General features: G+C 59.6%; 1 protein-coding gene and 1 long non-coding RNA gene across 18 annotated transcripts, besides 9 other annotated features; one reads left to right on the top strand and one right to left on the bottom strand.

Annotated features, from left to right (window-relative positions):
* HCFC1 (host cell factor C1) lies at window positions 35–24,296 on the top strand. Of its 17 annotated transcripts, none has more exons than NM_005334.3 (26): window positions 35–1,205; window positions 7,127–7,275; window positions 7,569–7,729; window positions 8,420–8,628; window positions 9,547–9,631; window positions 10,205–10,311; window positions 11,439–11,618; window positions 11,692–12,051; window positions 12,362–12,522; window positions 13,087–13,284; window positions 13,604–13,828; window positions 13,967–14,071; window positions 14,320–14,539; window positions 14,793–14,935; window positions 15,090–15,228; window positions 15,442–15,662; window positions 16,311–17,787; window positions 18,083–18,246; window positions 18,895–19,339; window positions 19,695–20,012; window positions 20,146–20,264; window positions 20,366–20,503; window positions 20,855–21,040; window positions 21,310–21,610; window positions 22,237–22,300; window positions 22,467–24,296. In NM_005334.3, exons 1-26 carry the CDS (start codon window positions 1,013–1,015, stop codon window positions 22,504–22,506), a joined length of 6,108 nt encoding a protein of 2,035 aa, NP_005325.2. In that variant the 5' UTR covers window positions 35–1,012; the 3' UTR covers window positions 22,507–24,296. The 17 variants fall into 17 exon arrangements, with proteins under 17 accessions (NP_005325.2, NP_001427777.1, NP_001427778.1 ...); NM_001440848.1 differs by having other exon boundaries at window positions 20,146–20,273; NM_001440849.1 differs by having other exon boundaries at window positions 19,692–20,012.
* Window positions 185–944: an enhancer, noted in NCBI's record as "active region_30046". NCBI's record gives its function as "activates an Ori minimal core promoter by ATAC-STARR-seq in GM12878 lymphoblastoid cells {active_cell/tissue: GM12878}" and the evidence as "EXISTENCE:reporter gene assay evidence [ECO:0000049][PMID:35858748]".
* Window positions 185–1,435: a biological region, named in NCBI's record as "NANOG-H3K27ac-H3K4me1 hESC enhancer GRCh37_chrX:153235869-153236718".
* Window positions 586–1,435: an enhancer, noted in NCBI's record as "NANOG-H3K27ac-H3K4me1 hESC enhancer chrX:153235869-153236718 (GRCh37/hg19 assembly coordinates)". NCBI's record gives its function as "activates a minimal SCP1, AML or CMV promoter by ChIP-STARR-seq in primed H9 embryonic stem cells {active_cell/tissue: H9 hESC(primed)}" and the evidence as "EXISTENCE:reporter gene assay evidence [ECO:0000049][PMID:30033119]".
* Window positions 1,425–1,664: an enhancer, noted in NCBI's record as "active region_30045". NCBI's record gives its function as "activates an Ori minimal core promoter by ATAC-STARR-seq in GM12878 lymphoblastoid cells {active_cell/tissue: GM12878}" and the evidence as "EXISTENCE:reporter gene assay evidence [ECO:0000049][PMID:35858748]".
* Window positions 1,762–3,088, bottom strand: HCFC1-AS1 (HCFC1 antisense RNA 1). The gene is made up of 3 exons (NR_046608.3): window positions 2,783–3,088; window positions 2,482–2,654; window positions 1,762–2,068 (listed from the first exon to the last, which is right to left on the bottom strand). It is a non-coding gene; the product is annotated as an HCFC1 antisense RNA 1 (long non-coding RNA).
* Window positions 2,451–2,629: a silencer, noted in NCBI's record as "fragment chrX:153234675-153234853 (GRCh37/hg19 assembly coordinates)". NCBI's record gives its function as "represses an EF-1alpha promoter that drives an FKBP-Casp9 reporter gene in an ReSE screen in phorbol 12-myristate 13-acetate-treated (for megakaryocytic differentiation) K562 erythroleukemia cells {active_cell/tissue: K562(+PMA)}" and the evidence as "EXISTENCE:reporter gene assay evidence [ECO:0000049][PMID:32094911]".
* Window positions 4,855–5,514: an enhancer, noted in NCBI's record as "H3K27ac-H3K4me1 hESC enhancer chrX:153231790-153232449 (GRCh37/hg19 assembly coordinates)". NCBI's record gives its function as "activates a minimal SCP1, AML or CMV promoter by ChIP-STARR-seq in naive H9 embryonic stem cells {active_cell/tissue: H9 hESC(naive)}" and the evidence as "EXISTENCE:reporter gene assay evidence [ECO:0000049][PMID:30033119]".
* Window positions 5,515–6,173: an enhancer, noted in NCBI's record as "H3K27ac-H3K4me1 hESC enhancer chrX:153231131-153231789 (GRCh37/hg19 assembly coordinates)". NCBI's record gives its function as "activates a minimal SCP1, AML or CMV promoter by ChIP-STARR-seq in naive H9 embryonic stem cells {active_cell/tissue: H9 hESC(naive)}" and the evidence as "EXISTENCE:reporter gene assay evidence [ECO:0000049][PMID:30033119]".
* Window positions 18,161–18,400: an enhancer, noted in NCBI's record as "active region_30044". NCBI's record gives its function as "activates an Ori minimal core promoter by ATAC-STARR-seq in GM12878 lymphoblastoid cells {active_cell/tissue: GM12878}" and the evidence as "EXISTENCE:reporter gene assay evidence [ECO:0000049][PMID:35858748]".
* Window positions 23,589–24,128: an enhancer, noted in NCBI's record as "H3K27ac-H3K4me1 hESC enhancer chrX:153213176-153213715 (GRCh37/hg19 assembly coordinates)". NCBI's record gives its function as "activates a minimal SCP1, AML or CMV promoter by ChIP-STARR-seq in naive H9 embryonic stem cells {active_cell/tissue: H9 hESC(naive)}" and the evidence as "EXISTENCE:reporter gene assay evidence [ECO:0000049][PMID:30033119]".

The raw sequence follows: 25,980 nt of genomic DNA, 5'->3' as shown, positions 1-25,980 counted from the left end.
CGCCGCTGCCGCCATGTTTAGTTGTTACTTCTTCACACAAGATGGCGGCTCCCAGGGAGGAGGCATGAGCGCCCTGCCGTTACCGCTTCTTCTGCCGTACAGTTGCCGCTTCGGGGCCTAACTCTAGCTCTTTGAAGCGGCTCCTGTGGGAAGGAGTCATAAGGCGGGAAGTGAGGATCGGACACCGCCTTGAGTTTGGTGTGCAGTGGAAGAACTGACCTAGGAGGAAGAGAATAGGGGGGAACGGGGAGCTAGTCTCAAGATGGCGGCTCCCACGGCGGCAGGCGCAGCCTGAGCAGCAGAGGCGGACTAAGGGGAGAGGCGCGAGACTTCACAAGCCGTACGGCGCGAGCCCCCAAACGGCCCTCGAGAGCTCGAGCTGGTTCCACCGGCCTCCGGCCCGCCTCCATTCGTTAGGTGTGTCGAGGCTGTTTCGGGAGCGGCGGCTGCACTAAGGCGCTGGGCGGGGAAGCGGGACGGTCTCAAGATGGCGGCTCCCACAATTGTGGTCTGAGCGCCGGCGGGGCTGCGACGACCGCGGCGCTTGTGGCTCCTTTCCACCCGCCCCGGAAGCCGGCCAGTGCTGGGGACTTGGGGGTGTGGGAACCGGGCCGGGGCTCCGCCATTTCCGGCGGGGGAGGGCTACGACTGAGGAAGGGAGGAGAGAGAGGCGGCTCAAGATGGCGGCTCCCAGGGCCTCCCGCCCGAGCTTGTAAGCGGGAGCGCCCGGACAAGTAGTCGGGGCGACGGGACTCAGCGGCCTCCAGCTTCTTGAGCCTAGGCGCTCGACAGTTTCGGGCGGCTCTTGCGGAGACGGGGTGAGCGAGAAGAAAGGGAAGAGCCAAAGGGAAGGAGGGCAGTTAAGATGGCGGCCTCCATGGAGTCGTCTACCGCTGTGTGAGAAACCGCTTCTCCGTGAGAGCTGCCTTAGACGAAAGGGGGTGTGTGAAAGGAATTGAGGGGCTCCCTTCCCGCTTGTTGACTTCTCCCCACCGCACCCTTTCCCGGAACTATGGCTTCGGCCGTGTCGCCCGCCAACTTGCCAGCGGTGCTTCTGCAGCCCCGCTGGAAGCGAGTGGTGGGCTGGTCGGGTCCGGTGCCACGGCCCCGCCACGGCCACCGCGCCGTGGCCATCAAGGAGCTCATCGTGGTGTTTGGCGGCGGCAACGAGGGAATAGTGGACGAACTGCACGTGTACAACACGGGTGAGTGCAAAGCCCGCTGGGTCTTCGGCTCTTTCCCTCCCTCCATCTCCTCCCTCTCCCTCCTCTTTCCTCCCTCCCTCCATCTGCTCCCTCCCTCTCCTCCCTCCCTCCATCTCCTCCCTCACCCTCTACCCTTCCCTCTCTCTCTCCCCTCCTCCCTTACCCGTCCTTCTCCCCTCTCCCCGTCCCCCTCCCCCTTCTCCCCTCCTCCCCCTCCCTCCCCACTGATCGGCTTGCCCCTCCCCTTTGCTGTGCCGGGCTTCAGTGCTTTTCTCTGATCTTCTCCCCGTTCCCTTGTCTCTCCCGTGTTTGAGGATTGGTTTTCGTTAGTTAAAAGAAAGCCCCTAGTCCGACTGGTGAGGGAGAGGGGCTGTCGCCAGCGGTGGTGACTTCAGACCCACACCGTTACCCAGCGGGCTGGGGCTGGGGCTGGGGCGGGCGGATGTGTCCCCTTGGCGCAGGCAGAGCTCCCCTCCCTCCCTCCCTCCCTTCTCCTGCGCCTGCTCAGCTCTCCCTCATCTCGAGTGCCCATTCTGGAGAAATGACCATTTCTAGATTACAGATTCGTTCTCTGTCTCTCGAAAAAGGGAGGGAAGGGAAGCGCTCTTAGGACGCAGAGTTTAACATCCGCCGACCCGGGTAATGCCGGAGCCTTGGGGACCCCTAGGACGGGCCGGCGGCAGGGCCGCCTCTCCCTTTCCACGTTTACTTCTGCAGCATTTCTTTCCAAGTCGCCCCTTCTCCTAATCTGGTGCCTTCTGGTTTACAAGCTGAATTCCAGTTACCCCTCAGCGGCCTGCGTAGTCGTGTGTCTCCCCGCTTCTGCGGATCCAGGGGGTTACCCCACCCGCTCTTCTGCCTCCCTGCAAAACCCAAAGCCCGTTAGTTGGGAAGGGGAGGAACCTCTCTCTTCAGGTATGGCTGATGCACCACGGCCTTCGTGGGGGCCGTTTGTTGTTGCCTCTGCCTAGTAGCCTTGCTTAGTCTCTAGGGCAGAAAGCCTGCTGCTGTCCACGACAGCTTTGTGGCATCCTTTTTCTTGGTGGCTACTTGGCCCGTTTTGTGCCCCTAGCACAAGGGTCAGTTCCCAAGTTGCCTACTGACTGCCCGTTGGCCCACAGGACCCTGGCCTTGCCCAGAAGGCAGGGTCAGGGTGAGTTCGGTCCCAGGCAAGAGCTGGAAGAGTCTGGGTGAGGGAAAAGCCCCCTGCAGGCGGCTGGGGGAGGGCCTTGGGATGCCCTAGTCCTGAGTGGCAGGCACGGCTCCCAGCACTAACCCCTTGCTCCGCGGCCGTTCTCTCCTGGGGGCTCTAGCGATCCCCTGGCCTCGGTGGTGGCCCTGCAGACAAACCCTCGCTGAGTGGGCTTTGTGTCCTGAGCGGTGAGAGGCTGCTGTTCTTTGGCTGAGCTCCAGTGCCTCGATGCTCTGGGGGTGGGAAGCTGGAGCTGCCTGGAGGGAGAAAGTTGGTTTAGGGAGTTGGGAAGGCTGGAGCTGGGCTCTTGGGTGCCGCTTCCTTCCCCACCCCCCAAGGCAGAAAGTGCTGGTTTCTCCACATCTCGGAGATTATCGCCACCTACCACGTTGACTTTGAAAGGCTGGTGGGTTGTCTGTGACCGTTTTTCGTTCCAGGTCTCTCAGCACCTGTTGCCTCCAGGGAGCAGGGCCTTTCTCAGCAGCCCCCGGGCGGGGGCGCTTGGTGGTTGGTGGTGCCCCGCGCCAGCCCAGGCAGCTGCAGTAGCAGGAATTAGCTCAGTAAGCTAAGGCTTCTCCAGTGGTGGGGCTGTTTATAGAGGCACCGTCACCATGAGCAGCACCTTCTCCACTCTGTGGACCGACTTTCTTCTCATAAGGCCTGGAGCAGGCTCCCTGGCAGGGAAATGCAATTTTAGAAAGTAGGGCAGGGGCCTAATTACAGTCGGCTCCAGAGTCCACCACCACTGCTGCCTTGGCTTCCTGGGGCCTCTGCATATTCATTAGTTTATTAAAATGAATTGACCACTTTGGCATGAATTCATTACCAGTCTGCAAAGACAGGTTGTGCATTAGAGGGGTAGCCTGCCTTCCAAAGGGCTGCTTAAAATGAAGCTCTGGGATCCTCCAGGGTAGCAGTTTGGAAACTGTCATCGGCAATTCCTCAGACGAGAGAGCAGCTGGCAGACCTGAAGCCCTCTTCCTCACCGGGGTTTCTGCCCCCTCCCGCCAGCCCGGCCTCGTCACCTTTGTCTTGTCTTCTTTTGTTGTGTTTGGGATGAGATCAGGGCATATTCTCACGCCTGTGCCCCTTGCAGTTCTGCGGGATCAGTCCTCAAAAAGCCTTGTACCTTTGGAGAGAGCTGATCTGGAAGGGGTTCCCGTTGCTAGGATAAGAAAGCTTCAGGGGGTGTGTGCTTTGAGAGCTCTTAGGGTAGCTACTGTGCTTGTCCTTAGGGAATTTTAGTTCCATGTGGCAAGCCAAAGGATTCAGAGTGCTGCCAGGTGTGGGGGGTGGGGGAGCGAGAGCTTTGGCTACGGTGGCTCTGTAATGTCCATAGGTTCTTGGAGCTGGAGGGAGCCTTGGAAAATACCTAGTGGAACTACTTCCTTGTTTCTGCAGATGAGGAAATTGGGGTCCAAGAGGGGAAGTGACAGGTCCAGGGTCGCCCTCCCAGCTGGTGGCGGAGTTGGGCGGGAGTGCAAACCTTCATAGAGGCCGTTCTGCCACCTGTCTTTGGGGCCCATCACCTTTGAAATGCCTCCATTCTCTCCTCTGTCCCTGTATCTAATTGTTCATTGCGTTGGGCAGGCATCAAATGTGTCCCCTTCCACACCAAGCCCTCCTCTCCTCTTACTAGACTCTTGCAGTCACTTCCTGATTGGCCCTGCTAGTTTCATTTGTCGGGAAATCCTGTTCACCCTTCAAGGCCCGGCTGAAACGTCACCTCTTCTGAGAAGCCCTTTCCACTCCTGTCCTCCCCTCTCCAGCAGTCGCACTGCTCTGTGCTCCCAAGGGCCCGGCTTGGTCAGAGCTCTTCTAGGGTGTTTGTCTCATCGTGGGAGGGGGGCATGCAGCCTTCCTACCCCATTGGGAGTATGAGCACAAGATCGGTGTCCTCTGTGCCTCCCAGCACGTCGTATGCCACACAGGAAATGCTCTAATGTGACAGGTAGAACAGAGAGGAAGGCAGCTCGTTGAACTTGACCGGCCACCTCACTGCATGGGCACCAGTCTCTAGGTGGTGATGGGACAGTGGCAACCAGGGATGGAGCTTGCAGAGCATGAAGTGGTTGGGGGAGCTGATGAAACACAGAGAGGCCGGGGCACAGCCTTGCTCAGGAGAGGGGAGCTGGAGTGGTCTTCATCTAGTGCAGGGTCCTTTCCCCACCTTCCCCTCCCAGCTGAGAGCCAGCATTTCCAGGATGAGGGGCCCAAGGATTGGGTTACATGACACCCCCCAGATGATTCAGGGGTGACTGAGAGCAGCTGTCACATTGAAAAGCTGGGAGAAGGGAGGAGAGCTTGCTCGTGTGCTTTCAGGGGGCGGAACCAGGACTCGTGGGTGAGATGAGGAGCCGCAGGTTTGTCGTCACACCAGGAGCTGTGCTCCCTGACAGACCTCTCTTGACGGGGGTGGGGAGGGCCCCTGCCCTGCCTGGAGTGTTCTAGAATGAGATCAGCACCTCTTGGGTCCTGTAGAAGGATCTGGTGAGCGGGATCCCCAAAGATATCACAGGGCGCTTCTGGCCTGGCCCACCGGCTCACTGATCAGCGTGTGATAGGAAAGCTGCCCACTGACCCCACGTGCCATTTAGCTTTGTCCCAAACTCTGACCCGCAGCCCCATAGCTGTGGGCTTTGACCACGAGGGTGCTCAGGGGAGTGAGGGTGGCTGCCTGGACATGGGACCCTAGGGAAGGCACAGATCGGTTGCTTCAAGTCAGTGATGGGGCTGTTGTCTCTGTCTCTGTTTTACGCTGTGACCTCAGGTGTCGCTTGCCCTCCTGGGCTCTGCCCCTTTACCTACCGAGAGCAGTTGGCCCAGGCAGCCTTAGGTCTCGTTATGCGTTTACCCTGGTAGCTTGCATGGAGCTCCCTCCAGGGATTGGTCAGGACGGCTCTCCAGTGCGCAAGGCTGTTGGCCTTGGCAGCTCTTGCTTTTCTGGGGTGGTTTTTGCACTGGGAATGAGAAAGAGGCAGAGGGCCAGGATCCGAGCTTGCACATGCGGGCGGCACAGGTGTTGTCCCTCTGCTTTAGGGAAATGGCAGGGGAGCTCTAGTGCTCGGCATGTCCGAGGCCCAGTGACTCAGCTGAATGGCTGCAGAGGCTGTCAGCCTGCTCGAAGCCTACCCGCAGAGTGGGTGCTGGAGAGCGGGGTGGGGGTGCTCTCGCCTCAGGAGGAGCGGTGGTGGTACAGTTGTGCTGTGTGGGGTTTTCTGTTTTTTTTGTTTGTTTGTTTGTTTTGAGGTTAGGTCTTGCTCTGTTGCCCAGGCCGGGATGCAGTGGTGCGGTCTCAGCTCACTGCAGCCTCAAACTCTGAGGGTCAGGCAGTCCTCCCGCCTCAGCCTCCTGAGTAGCTAGGACCACAAGTGTATGCCACCACACTGAGCCAGTGTTTTAAAATTATTTGTAGAGACGGGGTCTCCCTGTGCTACCCAGGCTGGGAGTTGTGCTTTGGATAAGGGCTAGCCTTGCACACGGTTCCGCATTGAGCCCTGGGGGTGACAGTGTGAGACTGGGTGGGACCAGAGTGCAGTGGGGCATGCATTCCCAACCATGGTCAGCCGCCTGGCCCTGGGTGCACACCTGAATATGGAAAAAAAACACTGTTTTTCCTCTTCTATGGTCTCACAACACTTTTGGCCACCAAACTGAATAGTCTGTATTATATCACAATATCACAGCATCCCTGTGTGGAAGCCTTCCCACCCCACAGGAATCCCCCCATGCCCTGTCACGTCCTGGGGGACCCATCTTGCGTCTTGAGTCATGTGGAGGGGCCTCAGTTCCTTCTGCCGTCTGCTTGCTGAGATCTCACCCAGGCCAGCTCAGAGGCACAGAGTCGGGGTTGCACCTGGCCCCCAGTTTGGGGTTTCTGGAAAGAGTGTGGTGAATCCTCTGAGGGACCCCTCATAGGAGGAGGTTTTCGGGGAAGCCCTGGCCTGCCAGGTGTGAGGGGAGTCAAGTTTGAGGACATGAGGGAGGGGCCTGGTCCCAGCTGAAGGCTGCTGTGCCATCCTGTGGAAGCAAAGCAGTGCCTAAGGTCTGATTTCCCTCTTTCTTGGTGGTCGCCTCACCCTCATGAGCTTTTGAGAAGCTTCTGTCACAGCTCTGCTGAGACTGCTGCCTCTGGCTTGCAAGAATGTTCTGGAGTACCATAGGTGTGGCAGCAGGGGCAGGGAGGGATGCTGGTGGACCATCACCTAGGAGACCAGAGGAAGTCCGGGAGGTCAGAGCAGAGGCCGGGTCTCATCCCCATGGCTCTTCGTAGCCTGCAGCGGTCACTGTTTTGGCCACTTGAAAGTGCTGCTCTGGGCTCTGGCTGTCCTGACCCTGTGATGAAGGGACAAAAATGTGGGCTCCAGGGAGGAGGAGCACAGGCCCACCAAGAGGGTATTTTGGGGAGAAATTCATGTCTGATCACTGAGTGCTAGGGAAGGAAGGCAGTGGCTAGATTCCCAGTAGCTGATGAGGGATCTTGCACAGTAACTTCCCGCTCATTAAGATGACCTTGGCGAGAAGCAGGGTGGTCACAGGCTCTTTTGCACTGGCCTGAAGTCGAGGGGTTTGGAAGATGGCCCAGGTAGCGCAGCTGGAGTTGCTAGAGCGCCCGCAGGGATGGTGCTGGCTCAGCCCCTCTCACCAAGCTTGACGGCTGGCACATTTGGGGAATGAGAGGAATGGGGGCTCCCGGGTGTTCTGACTTCTGCCTCCTTCTGTTCCCCAGCAACCAACCAGTGGTTCATCCCAGCCGTGAGGGGGGACATTCCCCCTGGGTGTGCAGCCTATGGCTTCGTGTGTGACGGGACTCGCCTCCTGGTGTTTGGTGGGATGGTGGAGTATGGGAAATACAGCAATGACCTCTACGAACTCCAGGTAAAGCAGCCCCAGGTTCTCACTCTGCCTCCTTGGCCCCATGTGACCTGACGGTAGTGGCTTCAGGGTTGAGGCAAGCGGGAGGTGGAAGGGACGCTTGAGAGTCTGCCAAGGCTGCTCTGAACTTGGCCCACCTCAGAAGAAGGCAGCAAGGACCAACACCCAGGACCTTCTTGCTCCAGCAAGGCACCTCGCTCACCCCCGGCCATTTCCTCCTCCACCACAAGTTGCCCCGGGTCCCTAGTGGTGGCCTTCTCATCCCACGGTTCAGTCTCCAGGTCTTGATTTTGCAGGCGAGCCGGTGGGAGTGGAAGAGACTCAAAGCAAAGACGCCCAAAAACGGGCCCCCTCCGTGTCCTCGACTCGGGCACAGCTTCTCCCTTGTGGGCAACAAATGCTACCTGTTTGGGGGTCTGGCCAATGATAGCGAGGACCCAAAGAACAACATTCCAAGGTGAGGCTTGGTCCTTTTCTCTGGAACCCCCCGGGTGGGTGTGCTCTCACATGCACAGGGCTCCATGGTGTCCTAAAGAATGTGCGCAGCAGAGCCCCGTGGCCGGGTCCCTTTCTCGTGCTGGGTTGTAAATGAGAGAGCGGCACCGGATGCCCTCTCAGGAGCTTTCGGGCTCCAAAATCGCTACTGACCCTGAGCAGGCCTCGTGGGAGGAGGGCCAAGCTGGAGGTGGAAGCCACTTTGCCTTGGGCTGGCCCAGCTCTCGGAGTCGGCTTAGAGCTGCTCGCGTTCCTTCTCAGCCTCCGCTGCCTACAAGTTTCCTGATGGGTATTTTCCAAGGCCCGTGGCCAAGGACTCTCTGTCTGGAGGTAGTCCCAAGCCAGCGCCCCCTCTTGCTCTGCGGAGCCCTCATATAATACCCAGCTTTGTGTGCATGGCGGGGGCCTGCTGCTGGGTCTGGACTCGGGGCTGCTGTGCAGCCTCACCCACCCTGTGTCCCCTGTTCCAGTTGGACTCATCCTAGGGAGCTTCTGGCAGCCCCTTCCTCAAGAGCTAGGGTAGAAGAACTTCAGAGCTCCCACAGCCCTAGCCCCTTTGTGTTCTGGGGAGGCTGCCACTCACTGATAGCCATCCAGCGAAGCCTCTGGCGTGAGGAGTCGAGACTTGCCGTAACTGATCTTTCCTCGTCAGGTACCTGAATGACTTATATATCCTGGAATTACGGCCAGGCTCTGGAGTGGTAGCCTGGGACATTCCCATCACTTACGGGGTCCTACCACCACCCCGGGAGTCACATACTGCCGTGGTCTACACCGAAAAAGACAATAAGAAGTCCAAGCTGGTGATCTACGGCGGGATGAGTGGCTGCAGGCTGGGGGACCTGTGGACCCTAGATATTGGTGAGCAGGGTGGTAGCACCCCAGCAGCCATGGGACAAAGCGGGTCTGCCTCTTGGCTGGCCCCGTGGGTGGCGCTGTTGTATGGTGAGGTGGGGCTCTTAGGGAGCTGGAGCATACCACTTCGTGCTTTCCTCTTGTCATGGTGGGCCAGGGTGGGGAACCCTGGATCGTCCCTAGGTTTGGGGCTGTTATCTCTGCCCTGTGCTGGCTGAGTGGGCTGAATTGGTCTGCGGGCTTATAAGAGAATAAGTCATTAAGGCTTTCTAGAATGGAATTCTCTGGATCCGGGTAGCATTAGTCCCTCTTGACTCGTCAGTGGTCAGACTGTGTGGAGTGCTGCATCCTGGTCTGACTGCTGTGGTACCATTGGATGCCGGTAAACCGTGAGGCCTTCGGGGACTGCTTGGGCCGGTCACCAGGTGGTGGTATCAGGAGTGGCTGGGAAAGATTACTAACTGTGGATCTCCGGAGGCCTCTTCAGCTGGGAGAGAGGAGATGGCGATGTTGTCCTATAGATCAGAGTCGGCACTCCAAAGAAGCAGTTTCCCGTGAGAGAATTTTCCAACAGTTTGCCAAAATGTCTGTAGCCTAAGGTGGTTATGGCGGTGAACGTATTTCATGGAGAGTTCGGGGTGTGCCCACCACTCCTCCCCCAGCACAGAGTGCAGTCCTGGCTCAGGGCAGGTGCTCAGGATGTACCTGAAGGAGCGCTATTGCTAGCCTGGTCGAAACCGCCTGGGTAACACAGGAATCTAGCTACCATGACAACAGTCAGAGGGCCTGCCGTAGGCTATAGGGAAGCCAGGGATGGAATTCTCTCACTGAGACAGATCCTACCTTCCTGAGCTAGCTTGAATCCAGGGAACGACCTGTGTGCAGTCTACCTTGTGTAACCCTTTCCCCTCCGTCTCTCTGCAGACACCCTGACGTGGAATAAGCCCAGTCTCAGCGGGGTGGCGCCTCTTCCTCGCAGTCTCCACTCGGCAACCACCATCGGAAATAAGTAAGTGGCTGCTCACCTGCGTCTCTCTTCTCTAGACTGGCGTGGCCCCTCCCCCGAAGGGCTCTCACTCAGTTTTGTCCTGTCAGACCCTAAGGCCTGAGGATGCCTCTTTCTGGCTGGGCTGGCATTTGGCAGCCCTGTTTTTCCATTACGACCCTGGGGGACCAAGGAAAGACAGATTCAGGGGGGAGAGGGCCACACACAAGCTGAGTCTGAGACCCTCCCCGGGCCTGTGAGGCTCCGCCCTATCAGGTACAGAGTGTTCTAGGTCCTCTGTGCAAGCACCTGGGTGTCTTTGTGGATGTCCAGGTCCTAAAGGGAACCTAGAAACTGTGGACATGAAGGTGAGCTTTAGATGAGCTGAACGGCACTTTTATGTGGTAGAGGTGACACAGTTCTCCTGAGGGCTGAGCCACCAGGCAGGAGAGGGCCACGTCAGGAGGCTTCACGCATCCTTGGGGACTCTCCTGGGGAGAGCCAGAGGACTGAGCTCTAGAACTGGGGTAGCAGAGGTGGCCTCTAGCTTGGCACCAACTCTACAATCCTTTCCCACTCTTCCCTCCTCACTCCCAGAATGTACGTGTTTGGTGGCTGGGTGCCTCTCGTCATGGATGACGTCAAAGTGGCCACACACGAGAAGGAGTGGAAGTGTACCAACACGCTGGCTTGTCTCAACCTGGGTATGGCCTCCTCGGGCTCCGAGTGGCCTGTGGGAGGCTGCAGGAGGCTGGCCCTTCTCAGCCTAAGAGCTGTGTGGGGTGTGCGGGGAGCAAGCTGGGCCCCCGGCTCCCTTTGGAATCCACTGGAAGGATCCAGTGGGCAGAGCTCTCTGAAGCAATGTTCCGCCTCTGAGTTTTTTGAATGAGCTCTCCATCCAAATGGCCCAACATCCAAAAGTGCAAAAGCCTCTACGGTGCAGGGCCTCCTTCCCTCCTCCCGGTTCTCCGGTTCTGCTTCTCAGAGGCAGCCATGTGGGTGGTTTCCTGTCCACCCTGCAGGGGCTCTTCATATCTGAGCATTAGCCATAGGTCCCTTTAAAAACAAACAGTGGCAGCCTGGCGCACGCAGTGCCACACCTGGCCTTTCTCATCCGCCGTATCTTGGAGATCACTCCACGTCCCTGCCCCGCAGCAGCCTCCTTCGAGTTGCGGTTGTGCTGCTGTAACTTGTACAGGCGCCGCTCCGTGAGTATCCTTGCACCATCTCCACCCGTGTGCAAGTGTATCCTAGGGGTGAAAACCTAGAAGTAGGGTTGCTGTCCGATGCGGCTGAACTGCCCTGCACAGAGGCTGTGCCCACGTAGGCGCCTCCAGTGGTGCCCTCACGGAATGGTCAGGCCACTCTTTGCCAAGCCTGATGGGTGGCCGAAGCTCCCCCTCCGGCTCACCTTGAGCCCCAGCTGCTGCGGGCCTGAAAATAAAAATGCCAGGCGCCGATGGTTGAAGTTTAGATTTCTTTTGCGTGAGAGTGTGTGTTTTTTCTTAAGATCTTTCTATCACGTTTTCCCTAAACCACTTTCCCATTGCCGTCTCTTTCTGTGAGTTGTAGTGTTCTTTAACGGGCAAGGAGGTAAACCTCTGACTGTGTTTCTCATGGTTTTCTTAGTTGGCCGTTGGTGGTTTGTAATTTTATTTTTTGTGTTGCTTTTTGCCACAAAGGGTTTCTTTGTTTTGTTGTTTTTAATGTAATAATCCAATAACTTCTTGATTTTAATTCCCATCCTTGACAACAAAAGAACCAAGGGCAACCAGGGGTGGCGGGTTTCCTCCATCCTCCTTGCTGACCTCCCTTGTCTGCCCTCCCCCAGATACCATGGCCTGGGAGACCATCCTGATGGATACACTGGAGGACAACATCCCCCGTGCTCGGGCTGGCCACTGCGCAGTCGCCATCAACACCCGCCTGTACATTTGGAGTGGGCGTGACGGCTACCGCAAGGCCTGGAACAACCAGGTCTGCTGCAAGGACCTCTGGTACCTAGAGACAGGTAGGCCCGGCCCAGCCGACTCCCCTCCTCCCATAGCCTCCCGCCCCTTCTCACCAACTGCGTTCTCCCACAGAAAAGCCACCACCCCCAGCCCGAGTACAACTGGTACGCGCCAACACCAACTCCCTGGAGGTGAGCTGGGGGGCAGTGGCAACAGCCGACAGCTACCTTCTCCAGCTCCAGAAATATGACATTCCTGCCACGGCTGCTACTGCCACCTCCCCTACACCCAATCCGGTCCCATCTGTGCCTGCCAACCCTCCCAAGAGCCCTGCCCCAGCAGCAGCCGCACCTGCTGTGCAGCCGCTGACCCAAGTAGGCATCACGCTCCTGCCCCAGGCTGCCCCCGCACCCCCGACCACCACCACCATCCAGGTCTTGCCAACGGTGCCTGGCAGCTCCATTTCTGTGCCCACCGCAGCCAGGACTCAAGGTGAGCCAGGGGACCAGGGACGTTTGAAAGTAGGGGGCTAGCCTCCGGGGAGAGGCAGCGGCCAAGTAGGGGCTGCGAGACGGCAGCCTAGACAGCAGGCCAGCAGCCGGGAGCTTTGGGCTTGTCTCCAAGGGTTGTAGGGGGATGCTAAAGCCTGGCCCCACCTGTGGAAATGGTCACTCTCAGGGCACAGAGAAGAGCCAGACTCCCACACAAGCAGGCCAACAGAAGTGGCTCAGGGCTGCCTGCAAAGGGGCTGGGGACATCGTGCAGAAGGTGATGGCTGACGGCTGGCCCCTTCTCTCATCAGGTGTCCCTGCTGTTCTCAAAGTGACCGGTCCTCAGGCTACAACAGGAACTCCATTGGTCACCATGCGACCTGCCAGCCAGGCTGGGAAAGCCCCTGTCACCGTGACCTCCCTTCCCGCCGGAGTGCGGATGGTTGTGCCAACACAGAGTGCCCAGGGAACGGTGAGGAGTGGTCACTGGGGCGGGTGGGATTTCCTGTTGATCCAGTGGATTAAGTTGCAAGTGTACTGAGGGGTTCACATCCCTCTCGGGCTCTGGTACCACGCACCCCACACCTTTCCCTCCTGGGACGTGCAGATGGGGAAACGCTCCTGCGAGGTCATGGTGGGAATTAATAGGTTAATGCCTAGAAGGCCTAACCTGCTGCCTGATCCTAAGAGCATTTGCCACGTGGACTTTCTTGTCCTGCAGCCTGAGAGGAGGATCTAGCCAGCTGGGCTTGCCACAGGCCCATGAGAATCAACGGGACCTGACTCTGGTCTTTAGAAAGGATCCAGAGCTCCCAGCTGCCTCTTGCCACGGGGGTTGCCGTGCATGGTGGGTGGTGGGAGCCCTCTGTGTCTGGGGCCAGGAGAGCGGGGTCTGGCAGTAGAGAAAGCTGAGCCATGCTGGCGGGATGAGGCTCCCAAGAGCAGGGCAGCCCCTGGGCAGGTTCCGGTGAGGTCCACCAAGCAGGGAGGTGGGTGGCACCTGTGACCTGGCCTCACATGCCCGTGCCTGCTGCAGGTGATTGGCAGTAGCCCACAGATGAGTGGGATGGCCGCACTGGCCGCTGCGGCCGCTGCCACCCAGAAGATCCCCCCTTCCTCGGCACCCACGGTGCTGAGTGTCCCAGCGGGTACCACCATCGTGAAGACCATGGCTGTGACACCTGGCACTACCACCCTCCCAGCCACTGTGAAGGTGGCCTCCTCGCCAGTCATGGTGAGCGTCTTCCGGGGCTTGTCACTGTGGTCAAACAAGCATAGTCATTCCCTCCGGGCTTTAGAGTTAGCCGTTGGACCGTGGGCTGCAGAATAAGCTGTCTCCATTAGGGGCGTCATGGCCTCAGGTGAGAGCTGCAGGCTCAGCCTCCTCCCTTGCCTGTTAAAGGAAGGGGGAACCAAGCTGTTCTTGGGCTTGGGAGCAGGAGGAGGAGGAAGGTGAGTGTTGAGGCAGGAGCTATGGGCCCACCGTGGACATCTTGGGTGGTTTCCCCATCGCTTTCTTTGCCTGGCCTGTCACTCGTCTCTGCCTCCTCCAGGTGAGCAACCCTGCCACTCGCATGCTGAAGACTGCAGCCGCCCAGGTGGGGACATCGGTTTCCTCCGCCACCAACACGTCTACCCGCCCTATCATCACAGTGCACAAGTCAGGCACTGTGACAGTGGCCCAGCAAGCCCAGGTGGTGACCACAGTTGTGGGCGGGGTCACCAAGACCATCACCCTGGTGAAGAGCCCCATCTCTGTCCCAGGAGGCAGTGCTCTGGTGAGTGATGGGTGCTGCCAGGCTACGGCCACTGCCAGTGGTGAATGGCCGCCCTGGGCCAGCTCCAGGAGAGTCTCAGCCAGGCCATGCCCTTGTTTGGTTTCCAGATCACTCCTTGCTCCATCCCTTCCTTTTTAGATTTCCAATCTGGGCAAAGTGATGTCGGTGGTCCAGACCAAACCAGTTCAGACTTCAGCAGTCACAGGCCAGGCGTCCACGGGTCCTGTGACTCAGATCATCCAGGTGAGCTCTCAGTCTTTGCACATACGCAAGAGTGGGGGCCTGGGTGCCAGGCCACAGGAAGAACTCATGTCCCTGCCCATGGAAGATCCCATGAGCACACATGGCTCAGCAAGTTCTGCTGCTCACTCCCCTCGCCCACAGCCTCCAGAACATTCCCTGAGCCGCCAAGGCTGCCGGCGGAGAGTAGCCAGACCACACTTCCCTTCCTGGCAGTGATGCCGGCTCATGCACCTGCTTCCCCCTTTCAGACCAAAGGGCCCCTGCCAGCGGGAACAATCCTGAAGCTGGTGACCTCAGCAGATGGCAAGCCCACCACCATCATCACTACCACGCAGGCCAGTGGGGCGGGGACCAAGCCCACCATCCTGGGCATCAGCAGCGTCTCCCCCAGTACCACCAAGCCCGGCACGACCACCATCATCAAAACCATCCCCATGTCGGCCATCATCACCCAGGCGGGCGCCACGGGTAGGGGCCTCCCCCGACATATGAGTGTCTGCAAGTCCTCACTGGAGGGGAAATGGAGTCCGGGTTATAAGGCGTGCTGTGTTTCTGTTTAGTTTACCCTTTTCTATCTTCTCCTTGCTGCCTTTTGTGTCTAAGGGTAGTGAGGAGATGGGCAGGGCTATGGCTGTGACTTGTGGATGTTCATTATAGTCTAGGGGCAGCAGGGGCAGCCCTCACAGAGCCTGTCTCCCCTGGGCCCCACTCTCCCATCCAGGTGTGACCAGCAGTCCTGGCATCAAGTCCCCCATCACCATCATCACCACCAAGGTGATGACTTCAGGAACTGGAGCACCTGCGAAAATCATCACTGCTGTCCCCAAAATTGCCACTGGCCACGGGCAGCAGGGAGTGACCCAGGTGAGGCACTCCCAGCCGTCTCTCAGCCCAGTGTCCTAGTGCAGTCCACCCCAGCACGCCACGCAGGTCCTCCCGACAGGCCTGGGAGGGGCAGCATCGGTGGCATCTACCAGCCTGGTGGTGACGTTGGTGGCACTTTCCTCTGGTGTTCCAGGTGGTGCTTAAGGGGGCCCCGGGACAGCCAGGCACCATCCTCCGCACTGTGCCCATGGGGGGTGTTCGCCTGGTCACACCCGTCACCGTCTCCGCCGTCAAGCCAGCCGTCACCACGTTGGTTGTGAAAGGCACCACAGGTGTGTACCCATAGGCCAGGTCCCCTGCCACCCCTAGATTATAACGAAGCAGGGCTGGCCTTCAATCCCCATGGCACAGCTGGGTGGCACAGCAGCTCCTCTCTCCCGAGCCTTCTATGCAAGCAGCTCCAGAGTGCCCCAGCCTGTGCAGGAGGAGCTGCTGGGAAGGAGACAGCAGCAGCCTTGGCCCAACTCTTGCCTCCTTTCCTTCAGGTGTCACGACCCTAGGCACAGTGACAGGCACCGTCTCCACCAGCCTTGCCGGGGCGGGGGGCCACAGCACTAGTGCTTCCCTGGCCACGCCCATCACCACCTTGGGCACCATTGCCACCCTCTCAAGCCAGGTGATCAACCCCACTGCCATCACTGTGTCGGCCGCACAGACCACGCTGACAGCGGCAGGCGGGCTCACAACCCCAACCATCACCATGCAGGTAGGGCAGGGCCTGAGGCCACGTGTGGGCGAGGGACCCCACACAAGTGGAAGCACGTGAGGCTCACGCCGTCCGTCCACAGGCCTTTCCTTCCTGGTGTTGCGCTGCTGCCGGGTGCAGCCATGGCAGGCCTTTCCTCACCTGGGGCATTTTCCCTGGTGTCACATGGTCCCTGTGTCATAGTCCGTGGTTTGGCTGTCATGGTTTGGCCATGCCTGGTGTTTGAACACCGGGTTCTTCCTCTCGCAGTGTTCTACAGGACGCCGCAGCTCGTCTGCATGTGTGTGCAGTGTTCTGTTCATACATATTAAGGAAAACGGTGAAACGTTTGTTGTTGGCCTTTGAGCATTGAGGGGGATTTCCATTCTCTGACAAAGGACTTGACTTCAGCCAGCCTCCTGCCTTCCCCTTGCCCTGTCCTCACAGCCTCTTCCTCATCCCAGTTGCCTTTGAGGCAAAGTGGTGCCTCTTCCCTGGCCTCTGAGCAAGTCAGTGTCTTGGGGGCAGGGGTGAGTGGGTCTTACGTCTGCCAGGGCCGTTGAGAAGTGGTCAGTGGTCCCAGCCTGTGTGGTGACAGTGCAGGACAGTGGGAGGGACAGGCAGACAGCCAGCTGCAGCACTAACTCTCCTCCTCGTGTGTCTCCCCAGCCCGTGTCCCAGCCCACCCAGGTAACTCTGATCACGGCACCTAGTGGGGTGGAGGCCCAGCCTGTGCATGACCTCCCTGTGTCCATTCTGGCCTCCCCGACTACAGAACAGCCCACCGCCACAGTTACCATCGCCGACTCAGGCCAGGGTGATGTGCAGCCTGGCACTGTCACCTTGGTGTGCTCCAACCCACCCTGTGAGACCCACGAGACTGGCACCACCAACACGGCCACCACTACTGTTGTGGCTAACCTTGGGGGACACCCCCAGCCCACCCAAGTGCAGTTCGTCTGTGACAGACAGGAGGCAGCTGCTTCTCTTGTGACCTCGACTGTGGGCCAGCAGAATGGTAGCGTGGTCCGAGTCTGTTCGAACCCGCCCTGCGAGACCCACGAGACGGGCACCACCAACACCGCCACCACCGCCACCTCCAACATGGCCGGGCAGCATGGCTGCTCAAACCCACCCTGCGAGACCCACGAGACGGGCACCACCAACACTGCCACTACAGCCATGTCGAGCGTCGGCGCCAACCACCAGCGAGATGCCCGTCGGGCCTGTGCAGCTGGCACCCCTGCCGTGATCCGGATCAGTGTGGCCACTGGGGCGCTGGAGGCAGCCCAGGGCTCTAAGTCCCAGTGCCAAACCCGCCAGACCAGCGCGACCAGCACCACCATGACTGTGATGGCCACCGGGGCCCCGTGCTCGGCCGGCCCACTCCTTGGGCCGAGCATGGCACGGGAGCCCGGGGGCCGCAGCCCTGCTTTTGTGCAGTTGGCCCCTCTGAGCAGCAAAGTCAGGCTGAGCAGCCCAAGCATTAAGGACCTTCCTGCGGGGCGCCACAGCCATGCGGTCAGCACCGCTGCCATGACCCGTTCCAGCGTGGGTGCTGGGGAGCCCCGCATGGCACCTGTGTGCGAGAGCCTCCAGGGTGGCTCGCCCAGCACCACAGTGACTGTGACAGCCCTGGAGGCACTGCTGTGCCCCTCGGCCACCGTGACCCAAGTCTGCTCCAACCCACCATGTGAGACCCACGAGACAGGCACCACCAACACCGCCACTACCTCGAATGCAGGCAGCGCCCAGAGGGTGTGCTCCAACCCGCCATGCGAGACCCACGAGACGGGCACCACCCACACGGCCACCACCGCTACTTCAAACGGGGGCACGGGCCAGCCCGAGGGTGGGCAGCAGCCCCCTGCTGGTCGCCCCTGTGAGACACACCAGACCACTTCCACTGGCACCACCATGTCGGTCAGCGTGGGTGCCCTGCTTCCCGACGCCACTTCTTCCCACAGGACCGTGGAGTCTGGCCTAGAGGTGGCGGCGGCACCCAGCGTCACCCCCCAGGCTGGCACCGCGCTGCTGGCTCCTTTCCCAACACAGAGGGTGTGCTCCAACCCCCCCTGTGAGACCCACGAGACGGGCACCACTCACACGGCCACCACTGTCACTTCCAACATGAGTTCAAACCAAGGTAAGTGAAGGTGGCCAGCCTGGCTTTCATGGTCTCCCAGCCCCCCAGGCTGAAAGGCCAAGACAACGATGGCGGGGGTCCGTCCAGAGTCCACCAGTCAGGCTCCTTGGCACCCAATTTACCAGTGGGGAGAGCTGGGGCGTCCTGGCTGTACCTGAAGCAGACAGAGGTCTCCAGGAGCCTGTCCTGCCTTATCTGGCCCTCCCCTTGGTGGTAGAGGAAGCCTGTGGTGGTCAAGCCAAGTACAGGCCGGGGGGGCTCCTGCTGAGCAGCCGCCTGCCTGTCGCCCCCACAGACCCCCCACCTGCTGCCAGCGATCAGGGAGAGGTGGAGAGCACCCAGGGCGACAGCGTGAACATCACCAGCTCCAGTGCCATCACGACAACCGTGTCCTCCACACTGACGCGGGCTGTGACCACCGTGACGCAGTCCACACCGGTCCCGGGCCCCTCTGTGCCGGTAAGAGCCCAGGGGGCCGTGTTCTTCCCCGCCTTCCCGGCCTACGCCCGTGCAGTTCCACACTCAGACGCCAGATGTCGCTCTTGTACCAGGCATGGGGCCGCTCCTGGTCCCTTTTCCGGACCATAAAAGGGCAGCCTCGGTGCCTGCTGCGGCAGGAGGCAGGAGCCTCACCGTCCCCCGCATCTCTGGGGCGCTTTTATTTCTGGGACTGGTTCTCATCGCGTGTCACTTCACCGCAGCCTGTATAAGACATGGCGGGGGTCTGAGTGCCCATTTGTCCAGGCCAGGGTGACTGAGGACGGGTTAAACCTGACCGGGGGTCTCAAGGGCCTTTCTCCTCATGCTGGTCAGAGAACCACTGTCCCCTCCCTATTTAACATGGGCTGGAGCTGGCCCATCAAGAATGAAAACTTAGGCCCACAAGGAAAGGTGAGGGCTGGCTTGCTTCTCAGCCCTGCTGCCTGGCTCTGGCCCCTCTCCTCCCCTCTGACAGGGGCTTCTCTCCCTTTCTAGAAGATCTCATCAATGACTGAGACTGCCCCAAGGGCTCTGACTACTGAAGTCCCCATCCCGGCCAAAATAACAGTGACCATAGCCAACACAGAAACTTCTGACATGCCCTTCTCTGCTGTTGACATCCTGCAGCCCCCAGAGGAACTCCAGGTGTCGCCAGGTCCTCGCCAGCAGCTGCCGCCACGGCAGCTTCTGCAGTCGGCTTCCACAGCCCTGATGGGGGAGTCCGCCGAGGTCCTGTCAGCCTCCCAGACCCCTGAGCTCCCGGCCGCCGTGGATCTGAGCAGCACAGGGGAGCCATCTTCGGGCCAGGAGTCTGCCGGCTCTGCGGTGGTGGCCACTGTGGTGGTCCAGCCACCCCCACCCACACAGTCCGAAGTAGACCAGTTATCACTTCCCCAAGAGCTAATGGCCGAGGCCCAAGCTGGCACCACCACCCTCATGGTAACGGGGCTCACCCCCGAGGAGCTGGCAGTGACGGCTGCTGCAGAAGCAGCTGCCCAGGCCGCAGCCACGGAGGAAGCCCAGGCCCTGGCCATCCAGGCGGTGCTCCAGGCCGCGCAGCAGGCCGTCATGGGTGAGTGCCGGTGCAACCCTGGGGAAGCCGGGCCGCTCGGGGGAGCAATAGGCCGCGGAGACAGCCTGGGAAGAGGAGCCCATTTCCCTCGAGGGTGGCATGAGCCAGATGTGATGGGGAGGACGAGCACAGGGGACCCCAGGCAGGCCAAGTAGTAGAGACTGCCGTGTAGAACAGGCTGGCTGGGGTTAGCGCCTGGGAAACAGGCAGGGCCCCTCGGCCAGGGCTTAGCCTACAGTGGAGCACGGTAGGAGGTGGACGGGGTCTCTAGGACAGGCTTTGGGGGCCTCCGCCCGGGCTGCCCGCTTCTGGCCAGCCTTCCTAGTAAGTAGTGTTTCTCTCGACCCTGGAGCAGGCACCGGCGAGCCCATGGACACCTCCGAGGCAGCAGCAACCGTGACTCAGGCGGAGCTGGGGCACCTGTCGGCCGAGGGTCAGGAGGGCCAGGCCACCACCATACCCATTGTGCTGACACAGCAGGAGCTGGCTGCCCTGGTGCAGCAGCAGCAGCTGCAGGAGGCCCAGGCCCAGCAGCAGCATCACCACCTCCCCACTGAGGCCCTGGCCCCTGCCGACAGTCTCAACGACCCAGCCATTGAGAGCAATTGCCTCAATGAGCTGGCCGGCACGGTCCCCAGCACTGTGGCGCTGCTGCCCTCAACGGCCACTGAGAGTAAGCGACTGAGGGCGAATTGGTGCTGGGGTGGTGGGGGCACCCAGGGAGGTGAGGGCAGGACGGGAGGCTCGGTCTCACTTGGGAGCCAGGTTTCCCGAGTCTTTCCCGCTGACACCTTCTTTCTTCCTAGGCCTGGCTCCATCCAACACATTTGTGGCCCCCCAGCCGGTTGTGGTGGCCAGCCCAGCCAAGCTGCAGGCTGCAGCTACCCTGACCGAAGTGGCCAATGGCATCGAGTCCCTGGGTGTGGTGAGTCGGGTGTGTTGGGGCTCCTGAGTCCGTGGCCTGGGGGGCAGCACTGCCTCTAGGTGCTGAGGGCCTGATCTCGTCGCACCGATTCTGTCTTGCAGAAGCCAGACCTGCCGCCCCCACCCAGCAAAGCCCCCATGAAGAAGGAAAACCAGTGGTTTGATGTGGGAGTCATTAAGGGCACCAATGTAATGGTGACACACTATTTCCTGCCACCAGATGATGCTGTCCCATCAGACGTAAGTGTCCCCAGGTGCTGATGTCCTCAGGTGGGTGGGTCTTGGCTCCACCACCCTGAGCGGGGCTTACAGGAAACTCCTCCATCTTTGGGCCAAGCTGAGTAGCCAGGAAGCCTGAGGAAGGTGGGCAGAGACCATCCCCCCTGAAGCAGTAGAAAAGGAGAGCTTTGGTTCCTTCCCGCCAGTACCGGGCCACAGTCAGCCTCGCCACGTCCCTCCTTGCCGTGAGGGGCCAGCCACCGCTGACCTCTTTTCCCTCTGGCCCATAGTTACCATGGACCTGCAGTGTTCCTGGGGTGGCCCAGAGCTGCCTTCTCCACAGTGGCGTTCATGCCACTCCTCTTTTCCTAGGATGATTTGGGCACCGTCCCTGACTATAACCAGCTGAAGAAGCAGGAGCTGCAGCCAGGCACAGCCTATAAGTTTCGTGTTGCCGGAATCAATGCCTGTGGCCGGGGGCCCTTCAGCGAAATCTCAGCCTTTAAGACGTGCCTGCCTGGTTTCCCAGGGGCCCCTTGTGCCATTAAAATCAGCAAAGTGAGTCTTGCTGTGGGGTGGCCGTCTGTCCCTGGTTGGTTTCTGCCTGCCTCAGCACATGAGGTGGCCGGGGGGGGGCATAGGAGAGCTAGGTTTTGAGTCCCAGTTTGTCTTAGTCCTTCCACTTGGGGGAAGATCTCTTTGAAGCTCCTTGAACTACCACATGGAATATCTCTACTGTGTTAGAAAATGGCTTATGGGAACCATGATTAGTCAGTTCTGGAAGCCTCTAGCCTGTTCTGTTGACCTTCTGACCCCCTGGCTTCTAGAGTCCGGATGGTGCTCACCTCACCTGGGAGCCACCCTCTGTGACCTCCGGCAAGATTATCGAGTACTCCGTGTACCTGGCCATCCAGAGCTCACAGGCTGGGGGCGAGCTCAAGAGCTCCACCCCGGCCCAGCTGGCCTTCATGCGGGTGTACTGCGGGCCCAGCCCCTCCTGCCTGGTGCAGTCCTCCAGCCTTTCCAACGCCCACATCGACTACACCACCAAGCCCGCCATCATCTTCCGCATCGCCGCCCGCAATGAGAAGGGCTATGGCCCGGCCACACAAGTGAGGTGGCTGCAGGGTGAGTGTCCTTCGTGGAGCTCTTCAGGCACAGGGAAGGCCCAGGAAGCCGGGTGCAGCAGGAGGAACTGTCACCATCTGAGATTTTTTCCCATGTGCGGCGTCTCCCTGCTTCCTTTGGCGCGCACACAGCCCCCCACGGGGGTGGCCATCAAGTAGAGCAGGGGACCCAGCTCCGGGCCTGGGGGTGCAGGGGACGCCACCCCAGGATGTTTGAGGGGACAAGCAGTGAGAGGGCTGGCGGGAAAGTGTAGGTTTCCAGGCCCGAAAACAGCACGTCCCAGGTCCCTGGAGTGCAGCAGGTGAGGGATGGAGGCCAGCCTGCCTCCTGTCAGGTCATGCTCCTGCTCCAGCTCCCCTGGGGCTCTGGGACCTGGGAGGGCAGTGAGAGGTGGGAGCTGAGCTGAGTGGGTTTCTAACCTACGTCCAGAGGGGAGTGAGTGGTGTCGTGTTCTGGTCCCAAGGAGTGGCGTAAAAGGTGACCACCCATAGGGCAGGCGCCCCACCCTTGCCAGCTGCGGGTCATGCCATGTGGCACCAAGAGACTCTGCAGGCGGGCAGGGCGCATGTGTTCCTTGCTCTCGTTCTGTCACAATGCTGCTCACGCATCTCTCCCGTTCCTTCCAGAAACCAGTAAAGACAGCTCTGGCACCAAGCCAGCCAACAAGCGGCCCATGTCCTCTCCAGAAATGTAAGCAGGAAGCCCCTCTCGGGAACCTTCTGAGACTAGGGGTGGAAATAGCTGGGTTCAGCCTCTTGTCAAATGACTGGGGGCCCCTAACCGGCCCTGCACCAGCAGGGCCTCCAGTGGTGCAGGGCCCACACTAACTTTCTCTTTCCTTTTTCTGCCTTCCAAGGAAATCTGCTCCAAAGAAATCTAAGGCCGATGGTCAGTGAGAGGAAGCTGACTAGCCCCTGGATTCTTCTCCAGACCCCCCTGCTTCAGGAACACCCGCCAGGGCCCACCCCTCCCACCCCGTCCCAGCATTCGCACTTCACCCTCGCGAGCCGCTGTTCACTCCTCTCCCCTTTCTCTTTCTCTCTGTTTTTAAAATAATCTAAAGAAAGCACATTTTACCATTGCTGTTGGGAGGAAGCAGAGGCAGATGGGAAAGCAGAGAGAGGAGCGCGCTTCCTTTCCTCCCCGCTGCCGCCCACCCTGGGGAGAGACTTTTGCGGGGAGGGAAGGCGGAGCTGAGGACAGCCAGCTCCGCCCTCCCAAGGCTGTGCGTTCCTGAGGGCCAGGTCGGGGGCAGGCATGGAGGGGAGGAAAGGCGTCCCTCTTGGCCCTCCCCAGAGTGGCTTTCCTGGCACCCTGGCCTGGGTGTCTGGTTCTGTTTTCTTTTCTTCCCCTTGTGTTTCCAGTCACCTAACTTCCCTTCCTCAGGCTCCCCCGGCCCACCCTGCTCAGTGACCCCACAGGAAGCTTACACATTTTCTCAGAGGCCTTTGTGCTCCCACCTCTTCTACCCTCCCCCTCTTCTTTCCCATTTTAAAAAAGAAAAGAAGGAAAAAGAAAAAAGGGGCAAGGAGCCCCGCGGCGGCCTGGGCAGCGCCTGTGCAGACCTCCCTGCAGGCCGCACTGCCAACTGCTGCATTTGTTGTGTTTTTTAGGTTGCAATTGGTGAAGTTCACACTTTCATTGTAATTTTAGCGTGTGGGGTTTTGTCCCTTTTTTGTTGTTGTTAGCTGTGTACAGAATGTGTAATCTTTTTTCTTTTCTCTTTTTTTTGTTTTGTTTTGTTTTGTTTTTGTTTTTTTACTTTTTTCTTCTTGGCTAATTCTTGGCAGGGATCTTTCTGGAGGAAAAGCTGGGGCCAGCCAGGGCAGGAGAGGTGTGAAATCTGCCACGAGGGGCCTGCTGTTTGCCACCCAGCCCAACTTCCTGTTGCTGGCCCCTGCCCTCTGCCCTTTTGCCTGTCCTCAGGCCGCTGGAACAAAGGAAGGACAGCTCATTCCTCATGGGCGATCACTCCGCATCTATAGGGTCGAGCCTAGGGGAGCTTGAGGGAGGGCTGGGGCCTCCTTGTCCTGGATTTCCAGCTCTCCCCATGCCCCCTCCCTGAGCACCACCGGCACCGCCTCCCAAACAGGGCTGCTGGTTTCCGCAGCCACTGCTCCACCTCCCCCAAATCGTCATGGAAAGGGTGGAGAATGGAGGGGAACCAGGCGTCCTTGGAGGCAGCTTGGGAGGGTGACTGTGTAGTGTCACCCACAAGGGAGGCTAGGGCAATGGAGCAGGCCACCAGCAGCAGCTGTGCAGCATGGAACTCAGGCCAGGCTCCGAGGCTGGGGGATCTGCTTGGAGTTTTCTGCCCCCCACCCCAAACTTCTGTCGAGGAGCAAGGCTTGCCAGCAAGTCAGAAGGATTTGAACCGAGCAGCCAATCTTTCCAGCCCTCCCCTACCGACCTCTGCCTGGAGACGCAGCAGCCTGTGTCCTCCAGGGCCTCTGGTTTGTTGTATTATAGTATATTTCGCTGTGGAAAATGTCACGTTTAGTCACCTTGGAGCCCACTCACCTGGTCCTGTTGTTTTACCCCATCCCTTCTCTCGCGCGCCTATTGATTTGTTTCTGAGGAGAGTACACCGTTCACTATTGTAGAGTAACCCCTGTGACTCAATATTACCATAGTGCGATGTCGTTTTGTGCTATTTTGAACAATTAAAAGACTTTTTTTGAAATAACCACTAGGTGTCTCACTGTGTCCCGGCATCCTCTCAGGAAGCCTGAGCGGGAAGGCTGAGACCTGCCCGAGGCTCACGGGAGCCCCCTGGAGGGAGACCTGAGCTCTGGTGAAAGCGTAGAAGGCCCCAGAGTGAGGCCTCTGCTGTGGCCTCCGGTCTTTGGACCAAGTCGGACCAGGGTCCAGCAGGTTGCTTGGTAGCTGCCTTGCAGGGCAAGGGCCAAAGAGCCCCTTGGGCAGCTGCTGCTGACTTCCTGTGTCTGGGGCCCAGATCTCCCTCCCTCCCCTCCTGCACTAGAGGATAGGATGGGGCAAGGGCCTGGCAGGTCACCAGCGGCAGCCTCCTTGGGTGGGTTGGGGGGAGGTGGGCTGAGTCAAGTACACCACGGGTACTGCAGAGGTGGATCCCTTCCTCTGGCTTCCTCTTAAATGTGAGCCATGCCCCCAAGGGGAAGAAGCAAGAGCTTGTGATCCAGACTGACCACCTAGCAGCTGGGTCGGTAGGACAGCTGGGATCCCGTGGGCTGAATTTGTACCAGGAGGCCCAGAAAGCTCCGGGGCAAGGTGGCCGGAGCAGCACAGGCCTAGGCGGGTCTGAGGGGAGTGACACCCTGCTTCTGGGGCCTGGTGCTCCTGGCGCACCTGCATTCCCCGCCCCCTCCAAGCCCCTGCCGCCTGCCTTTGTTTCCCCTACACACCTCTACTGCCCAGCCTTCCTCTCAGAGCACCCAGGCACTCCGCTACCAGAAGCTCCTGGAGTAACCAAAGCCTCCGTGTCTCCACCTGTGGCATGGGTGTGTGTGCAAGGCCCTGTCGAATGCGACCTCTTCTGGGAAGCCTCTGTCCTGTGGGGTCTGCTGTGTCATGTGGGGGTGGGGGGAAGCAGACTGGCCAGGGCTTGACACCAGGAGCCATGGCTCTGTCTTACCCACCGCACCAACTGTGACCTGCCTTGGAGCCTAGCCTCGCAGAGGCCCAAGGAGAGGGGTGGGAAAGTGTCCTTCAGAGCAGAGCGGTAGGAGTCATGGCTGGGGCTGGTGGAGGCCAGGGGCCACATGGGGCTGGCCCCAGAACCGAGGGGCCTTGCGGATTTGCCATACCTTTGGCAAATGGCGTTGTGGGCGCTTCGCCTGGTGGGGGTGGTACAAGGCTTCTTCCTACCCCACTTCTGTAGCTGGCACCTGTGGGGCTACCCACCCTCCGCATTCCTTCAGCTCACTTGTCTCACCGCGGCTGCATCACACTCCACAAGGCAAGGGCCACATCAGTCATGCCTCTGGTGTTTATCTGAAAATACCGCGTTTCCGTCTGAGGGCACCACTCAGTCTGGGGAGGCAGGAGGGAGGCTGGACATGAATGTGAACATGACAGGCCTGTGAGCAGGGCAGGTAGATACAGCCCGGCTGGGCACAAAGCTCATCCCCTGAGCATGAGCCGAGGCCGAGGGTGGGTGGGAGCACACAGAGGATGCCTCCCCAGCTGCCAGGGCATCAGCCTCATTACCAAGCACCCCAAAGGGGAACTGTTTGGGGTTGGGTGGGTCAGCCTGCAGCAGGGACTGAGACAGCCACTGTGGCATCAAAGACCAGCAGTGCAGTACCCACGCCCAGAGGCTGGAACCCATTTTGTGCACTGTTGGCCTGGAAGGTAGGAACCACCTCAGCCCAGCTGCCTTGTAGCATCAT

Source organism: Homo sapiens, chromosome X (genome assembly GCF_000001405.40).
Source record: "Homo sapiens chromosome X, GRCh38.p14 Primary Assembly".
Taxonomy (NCBI): Eukaryota; Metazoa; Chordata; class Mammalia; order Primates; family Hominidae; genus Homo; species Homo sapiens.
Note: the sequence above shows the minus strand (reverse complement) of the source record. Positions and strands in the feature narration are given on the sequence as shown.

Bases quoted from the DNA above. Each gene is read 5' to 3' on its own strand.
- HCFC1 (XM_047442051.1), top strand. From the start codon at position 1,013: ATGGCTTCGGCCGTGTCGCCCGCCAACTTGCCAGCGGTGCTTCTGCAG. The intron at 9,632-10,204 runs GTAAGTGGCTGC...CCTCACTCCCAG, and splicing joins GCAACCACCATCGGAAATAA to AATGTACGTGTTTGGTGGCT. The intron at 12,523-13,086 runs GTGAGGAGTGGT...TGCCTGCTGCAG, and splicing joins CACAGAGTGCCCAGGGAACG to GTGATTGGCAGTAGCCCACA.